General features: G+C 36.4%; 1 annotated feature.

Annotated features, from left to right (window-relative positions):
- Positions 7,198-7,698: an enhancer, noted in NCBI's record as "H3K4me1 hESC enhancer chr3:94593556-94594056 (GRCh37/hg19 assembly coordinates)". NCBI's record gives its function as "activates a minimal SCP1, AML or CMV promoter by ChIP-STARR-seq in primed H9 embryonic stem cells {active_cell/tissue: H9 hESC(primed)}" and the evidence as "EXISTENCE:reporter gene assay evidence [ECO:0000049][PMID:30033119]".

An 8,867-nucleotide genomic window follows, 5' to 3' on the forward strand; every position in this document is an offset into this window, starting at 1 on the left:
TCAATGTGTTTGTGTCATCTCTGATTTCTTTCAGCAGTGCTTTGTAGTTCCCCTTGTAGAGATTTTTCCCTTCTCTAGTTGGCTGTATTCTAGGTATTTTATTCTTTTTGTGGCAATTATGACTGGGAGTTCATTCCTGATTTGACTCTCAGCTTGATTGTTGTTGGTGTATAGGATGCTAGTGATTTTTACACATTGATTTTTGTATCCTGAGACTTTACTGAAGTTGTTTATCATTTTAATAATTTTTTGGGCTGGGACTATGGTGTTTTCTAGATATGGAATCATGTCATCTGCAAACAGGGATAGTTTAACTCTTTCTCTTCCTCTTTGGATGCTCTTTATTTATTTCTCTTGTCTGACTGCCCTGGCCAGGACTTCCAATAATATGTTGAATAGGAGTGGTGAAAGAGAGCATCCTTGTCTTATGCCAGTTTTCGAGGGGAGTGTTTCAGCTTTTTCCCATTCAATGTGATGTTGGCTGTGGGTTTGTCATATATGGCTCTTGTTATTTTGAGATTTTTCTTTCAATATCTAGTTTACTGAGAGTTTTTAACATGAATGTATGTTTAATAGGATTTTAAAGCCAATTGTGAGATGGCCCCTTTAGCAGCATCCTCTCTCAAAAACTGACTGACATTGTTTGTTTCTTCTAATCAACTTCTCTCTACAATCCAACCAATAACACTGTTGCTTTCATTGTTAATTTTTCTGTCCTATTCTCTTTGAATATGTTGTTATCCATGGAATGTCCCTAAATTCTTGGAACTCTGCCTATTCCAATTAGCCCACATAAATAAGTAGAAATTTTGGAGCATAATAGAAATTGACTAAATAATTAAATTGGGATTAAAAAATTTAATTTTTTAAAACATTTAATTTTTTAAAAATATATTTTATTATGCTTGTGAAATTTTTTGAAAAAAGGGGTTATTAGTAACATAAAATTATCAATAACATATCAAAAATTTTAAATCATATTCAAATACAATCTGATGTTCTTCATGAAAAGTTTCTCTGGGTCATATATGAGAATATGGTTGTCATAGTTGAATAAGATATATAAAACTTTATAAAAATTATTGTTTACAAAATCTAAAAGTTTGTCTTCTATGGTCTTTTTTCCAAATATACTTCTTCCAAGTAGTTCATAACTTGCTTACATAACAGAAGTAGCTTATCCATAATGTGTTCATATAATGCAAGTTTTCATGAATGATGATAGAGTCCTTGTGGACTATGTATATGTGTCATTGAGGAGAAAAATGAATGATTCTTGTTTCCTGAGTAAATATGTAATATATGTTTAAAGTGAAATTAAAATAAACATTTTATAATAAAAATATATTAGATAATATAATTTTTCTACACTAGTTTTAAAGAAAAAAGTATTTGGACTAAGCAAAACTATAAATATATAAAGTCACCCTTAAAATAATCAAAATGTGCTGGTTAGATGCCATTGCTTGTAACTCAAAGAAAAATGAATTTCAAAAAACTAGGGCAATAATTATACTTTTAACCTCTTTATCTTCAGCAGAAAAGAGTACTGCTTAACCAATTATAGGCCATTTAGAACTTGGGAAACTTTATAAAATTATATATGGAATAAAAGTGCTTTGAATATAAGTCCAAAAAGTATATTTAGAAAGTTAGTTTTCTTGTATCAAAGTAAGTGTTTGGAAAATATCAAATCCCAGATGAATAAAAATGTGGTATTGTGCAACTTTTGAATAAGCTGCCATTTAGTAACAACGTGAAGTAAGCAGAAGTTTTTGGATAAGTATTCTCTTCCCTCACCAAACTTCTATTTTATTATTCAGAAACCAAGGTGATTTATAAAATCTTATTTGAATTGCGTAATTGTTGAAAGCCTTTCATCTATTTTAGCTTTTCTATTGATTCCTATTAAGAAACTATTGCATGTAGTTTCCATTGATACAAAAAATGTGTGTAGACTGCCCTTCCCAAATTCTGTTGTTATTTGGAAAAATGTGTTTATCAGCAGGAAATCAATTCAGGCTGCATGAGTTACAAGCTAATGTTAATTGATCCTGCTTTTTGTTATCTAAACTGTGCAATTTTTTTTCCTATGCTGGAGAAATATATAAGAATACATCCAGAACACTCATTTTACAAATATACAAATATAATCCCACAAATTATAATATAAACCAATTTCTTAACTTATCCAGTGAAAGCCTAGGCTTAAATGCCAAATAAACTTTTTATTGTTGTTGTTTATAGATGCCTTCATACTAAGTTGAATGAGATTCAGAAAGCCCATATGAAGATAATATAAACTTCTATATTATTCCTTTCTTATTAAAAAGCCCTCTAAAATAGATATATTAACTCAAGCTTTATTGTAAATGACAAAAAATCTATAAAAACATTTCACTTCTGGTGAACTTTCTTTCCTATAATAAACCTATTTTGGTTTTTATTTTTCTATAGTTTCGTGATAGCTCCATTATTGGTAGATCAAATGTTCATAGCACTTATATTACCTATAAATATATTATTTTGAGTACAAGTAAAATAAATTTTATGTAGTTAGTTGTTTGTTCACATTTCGTGACTTTGATTTCTCTTCAAAGAGACATAGAGCTGTTTTTGGAGCTAGTGGTTTTCAGAGCTGGAGCAAGTTAAACTTCCAATGACCAGGAAGTTTATAGAACTCCTGTCTATTATGTTGACAGGTCTTCTCTAGCACGAATAGCATTTCTCTTTAGGGGAGTCTAAAATTTACAATCCTGTTATGAGGTAGAATATGAAGGTGTTCCCATATGCCTTTTCTTTATATCTCAGTCATACATAACTTCATCATCATTTCTTTGCTGAGCCATACCAAATATTGACAGCATTGGTAACACAAGAAAGGGTTTAGCAGTCAAAGTAGTTAAATGGCTCAAACATTTTAATTGATTAAAGTGAATTATTTTAAAAGAAAATTTAAACCTTTTGCAAATAAGCTGCAATCAAGCTCTTCACTGTTGCTTATACATGTTAATTCAGGGAAACGAAACCCAAAACATATCTTCAACTATAAGAACAATCTGGGCTGTATTAATTAGCTGGATGAATATGAACCTTCTCTTTTCAATCAAACATTCAATAGTAATTCCCCATCATATTATGGACATATAATAGTTTTTTTTTTTTTTTGGTTTGTTTTTTGTTTTTGTTTTTGTTTTTGTTTTTGTTTGAGACGGAGTCTCGCTGTGTCGCCCAGGCTGGAGTGCAGTGGGGTGATCTTGTCTCACGGCAAGCTCTGCCATCTGGGTTCACGCCATTCTCCTGCCTCAGCCTCCGGAGTAGCTGGGACTACAGGCGCCCACCACCACACCCGGCTAATTTTTTTGTATTTTTAGTAGAGACGGGTTTTCACCGTGTTAGCCAGGATGGTCTTGATCTCCTGACCTCCTGATTTGCCCGCCTTGGCCTCCCAAAATGCTGGGATTACAGACATGAGCCACCACGCCCAGCCTATAATAGTATTTTTAAAGAACTTATTTTATCTCTTTTTTGAAAGATCTGTTTTATTTTATAGTGATCTTGAAAAGTCTAAGTAAAAAATACTAGCGTTTACAAAATAAGTAGTCAAATTAAGTTACTTTGTCTTTAAGTTTTCTGTTGCTATACCTCCTGGGCAAATGTTTAGTTTCTTATCATATATAAATATATATTATTTTCACCTATTGCTTATACACACAGCACACCCACACAATCACACACCGCATGTGACTCATTGAAGCAATGAGCCATGCTGGGGAACACCTTATACTGAAATAGTAAAGTCATGGCATATAGTCCATCCTGTTACAAATGTGTAGCATAAATAAGTGGATTTACTTTTTTTTTACCCAAATCCTATAATCTATACATGAATAAGGTTAATGTTTTCTATCCTACTTAGCCCTTCTTAGCTATTATAAGGATATTAAACAGTGGTAAGAGAGTATACATACAGGGAAAGCAAATACATTAAAAGTACAAGATGTGGAACATGCAGCTAATATCATTTAAAAATAATTTTGGATGACTCAAATCAAATGCTATTTTCAGATTAAAATAGCTATGTGTAGTAAGAATCTGACACTCTATCTTGATGTATTATGAAGTACTAATTTTTTCCCAAATCAATGCCACCTGACCATGATGTCCTTAACTTCCCTTCATCTTGACTAAATTTTAGGCAAGATTCTTCCCAACTCTAGGCCTCTGACCTCACCTTTTCTTAGAGCATTTACCTCAAAAAACTTGTATTTATAAATTCTGTCTATGCCTCTTTGAAATAATAGATCTTTAAAAACCATTTCTGCCAGTCCTTACAACCCAGGAACATCTTTCTAAGAATTTGGAAGCCATGTCTTTGACATGTAATCATCATAGATGATAGGGCCCTATATCTCATTTTCTGTGGATCTCCAGGAGCCTAACTTTACTGGTGCCTTGCTACCTATAACACTATCTGTTATCATGAAGATGAGAGAATCTTGAGTAAATTAGTGGACACAGATGGCCTATGATATTCTCATTCTAATTCCTAAAAACTCTCTAGCTCTTTGTTTCAGTAGAGTTGAGCGCAGACTTGAGATCTGACCTCTAGTTCCTCTTACAAAAGCCTTGAATAACTAAAATTCATATTCATTACCCAGTCTAATGAATGTACAAAACCATAGTAGTCATTTTAGTGCCTAGCAATTTTGAACTATAGTGAATATAGTGAATACATATTTATAACACTAGTTAGAAGTTTTGAGTTTTTTTCTCATTACATTGATATTAAATTTGTTATTTATACTATAAAATAATTTTTTTAAAAAAAGATTATGTCAATTTCTTTTGTTAGCCCTATATTTAAATGTACGTTTCTGGTTCACAGCAAGTATGAATTATAAATGAAGTCATTAATTAAGGTCTTTGTCATGTGTAATTTTTTGTAATCGCTATTGCCTTAGATTTTTTCTCAGCCTTTTATTAAATGTAATATGCTTACATTCTACTTTCATGTTAAATCTGAAAAGGTCATAATGATTATCCAATCATGGCTCTTGTTTTACAGATGAAAAAAACTGAATCCTGTAAGAGTTAGAATACATATTCAGGGTTATATATAGTAACTCATATGCAGAGCTTGGCCTACAGCTATACTTTTTTCAATTCCTAGGCCAATAGAAATAATTTAGCAATATCAAATGTTCAGTGATTAATGAATTGATGTGGCTAGTACTTAGCACATAAAGTCACCAGGATATTTGTTCAAAGACATCTGTATATTTAATTTACTCTCTTTAAATCTATATTGTTATACCTACTGCTATTGCTAAGAGGATTGATCATGTCAAAAAAAGTCCTTAACTCACTTGTAAAACTGTTGATTGATCGAACTAAATTTGCAGGCCACTTGCCATTTTTGTTTTAATGTCCAGGTCATGATGAAAATGTATGCCTTGTTTAAAGTCTTTTAAGGGGTCTTTAGCCCTATTCACTCAAGAATCTGCTATGTAATAACAGTCGATCTAAGAAGACAATTCACATTGCAGCCTTCAGTTATATTGCCCAAAATAGAATACCAAGTGTCCCTTAGAATGTGCTTCTATGGGCCTTCAAATCTCACCCCATCCACTGCTATATACTTTAAGAAAGTGAAGAGTTAGTAGTGACTGAGACGTTCATCCCACTCTAAGACTGAGCAAGCATTAAGGATGAAAGGAAATGAGAGTTTGCTTTTAAATTAAACATAATCAATGACATGCCATTTAATTTTCTGGAACTGACTCATACTCGTTCTGTAATGTCATACTACCAGAAAATGATCTATAATTTAAAATTATGAGTGTTGGATATTAAGAGTTATTTATTATGTCTTTTATAAACGTTTTATCTGTTAAAGTTTATTATCCAAATGGCAGTGGTACTGAGTATTGGTTGGAGGAAAGAGGCAAATAAAAATATTTTGAATTTTCATTTTTGTGAGAGGACATTGAGAGTAGTCATATGTAATATTTTAAAATACCCAGTATGCATAGAAATAGCAAAAACTAATTATTTTCAATTTTAAAATATGTCATTAAATTCATAGTGTAGCATTAAGAATAAAGTATCTGTTTTATAATAAGGGCCATTTTAATAGAATCAAGCAACATTTACAATAAAACAATAGTTGAGACCATGCCTATGATTTTAGTATCACTAGCATTTCCTTTAATTTGTCCCACCATGTCTTTTTCACACCTAATATAATTTGTCTACTTCTCTAGTGACAAAACCAAGTGAAAGAACTAATACACAGATATATTTGTGTCACAGGATCCTTGGGGTGTCACTTCACCAGCTGAAAGCCCTGCTGTCCACAGCACCTTCTGCCTGAGTATCGCTTGCGCCCACCGGGGTCCTTCCACTCATTTAGCGTGACAGGCTGTGCTTAGCTCACGCTACCAGCCCGGATTCCACATCTACCAAGGGCCAGTTACGTGTGGAGCGGTAAGGGGTGTGTGAGCAAGTGAGTGCAGGATCTGGCCAGTGTGCACAGCCAAGCATGCTGCCTGCTACAGTAGATGGACAGCTCCAAGCGCTGGCATAGGTGCCGGCTCCATGTGAGGCTGTGGCTGGACAAGATGTATTGCACATGGCTTCTGCTGCAGGCACCCATGTGGAGGAAAATGCAGTGGTTCCCAGAAGCTTGGAGATGCCAGGAACTGCAGAGACCCAAACAGGGTGTCACACCACTAGCTTGGGGAGCCCCTAGGTCTTGGCTCCTCAAAGGGCTGCAGCACTTCTCTCCTTCTCGTTGCCTACAACAGAGCAAGTAGTGGTGCTTGGTGGTGGGGAGGGGTGTTTCAGCCCTGTTTATGTTACTGCTTTTTCAGTCCTGCCATTAGGTGGGTCCCGAGTTCTTGTCCTGTGTCCAAGAAGAATTAGGTATGTGGACAACTGCAGGGTGAGCAAGGCGGAGAGGAGCTTCACTGAGTGACAGAACAGCTCTCAGGAGATTTGCAGTGGGTATCTCCTTTCTGCAAACAGGTCGTCCCAGTGAGTGTCCAGCTCTCAGTGGAGAGAAGACCTTCAGGGGTAGCTCCTTTCTGAAGGCAAGTTGTCCCAAAGAGTGTCCAGCTCTCAGCAGGAAGGAGACCTGCAGTTGGTAGCTCCTTTCTGCAAGCAGGTCAACCGGAAATCTGTTTGAGCCTGGCTGAGTGGCGGGTGGCAGAGGTGTTAATGGGCACAGAAGGGAGGAAGTGTGTGATGATTGGTCCATGGGCAGCCATGGGTGGGCCCGGATAAAGAACCATAAATTCTCACTCCAGGCTGCAGAATCCACTCGGAACTGACAGTCCAGCCCCCATGCTTCAGGACATTCTTGGCTGGAAGGTGGGGCTCACTGGGGACCCACCTCTTTTCACCCAGTAGCCTGTCTGACTCCTGCCAATCATGTCATCGATGGCACACAAGCTATTCCTGCTGAAAGGCACCTGCAGGCCCACCATGAACCACCCTCATCACCTCCTCAGCCCCCCTCCCATGCTTGTCAGTGCCCAAAGTCTGGAAGATACCAAGGTGACAGGGGCTGGTGTGTCAGCGCCACCCTGAGCACCGCATACCCGGCTGGGTTGAGACAGCACTCTGGTTCAGCCTCAACTTTGCTGTGAATTCCCAGCAGGTGCTGGAAGCAGGGAGAGGCCAGGCAGCAGGGGCAGGCACTTCTGAGCCTGCTGGGGCAGGGAGACTTTCTGAGCCCCCAGGAGTGCAGGGATGACCGGGTCCACAGCCCCAGCTGGGCAGCTGTAGCTGCAACCAGGAGGGCAGGGCTCCTACCTCACCAACTCAGAAGGGGGCAGGGCTCCCACTTGTTTGTGGCTCCTGCTGGCTCCAGAGAGTGCTCAGCTCTGGCCACACCTCCCACATTGCAGCTGGAGTTCTTGCAGCAGCTGCTCCACATGGGCCACTGCTGCCTTCAGTTGTATTGATCAAATAATTTAGGCAAGATATTTTCAGCAGGAAGAATTTGGTAACTAATTTCTTAAGTCACTACTGTTGTTAGGATAAAACATAAAGAATCTGGATGAAAAAAGTTTTTCAAAGAGTTGGAGAAATAAAAAAATCTGCAAAGATTTTGAACGGAGTCAAAAATTAGTCATCAGAGTCTTAATCATAATGATAATGCTTTCCTAATTATTCTTAATACTCACTGCCCAATTCCCCCATTAAGCTCGTCTTACATTTCATCTATAAATCCTTTGATATTCAATTTTTCTTCTGAATTTTCCTCTTGACACAAACTTTCTGCTAATTGGATATATTAGGGTTGACAAGAGATACTGAGAGGCAGTCAGTTTTCCTTAAATTTTTTTTTAAATAGCAATTTTGTATACTGTTCCCTTTACTAACCCAGAAAGTTGTTTTTACCTGGAGGTAAATTGAATGATAAAACAGAATAAACTGACCCCAAAGAAGTATTAGAATTTTTTTTTTATTCCCATGAGAATATTTTATAGGTCATCTCTTATTTCTGAAATAAACTTAAAATCTTTGGATCCATGGGTAACTCTAGGCTTTCAGTAAAGATGGGAACTGACCCCTGCTTTTAACACATAGTCCATTTTTCAATTCTCCCTGGGTCCAGATCTGTAGCTTTGTCCAGTTCTGAAGCTGTGTAAGTAGGCTAGGGGGGATTTTAATTTCTTTTCTTTTCTTTTTTTTTTTTTTTTTTTTTGGTCACTTGAAGGTATTCTTCTGAATATAAGTGAAATCTCTCTGAGGGGTTCAAAGTGCTATTAAAATATACAAGTTTCTTTAATTTCATGCCTCTCTCAGGGTGTATCTTTGTTGGAATGAGAACTAAAAAAAGCTTTGTTAACTCCCAA

This window comes from Homo sapiens, chromosome 3 (assembly GCF_000001405.40).
Source record: "Homo sapiens chromosome 3, GRCh38.p14 Primary Assembly".
Lineage (NCBI taxonomy): Eukaryota > Metazoa > Chordata > Mammalia > Primates > Hominidae > Homo > Homo sapiens.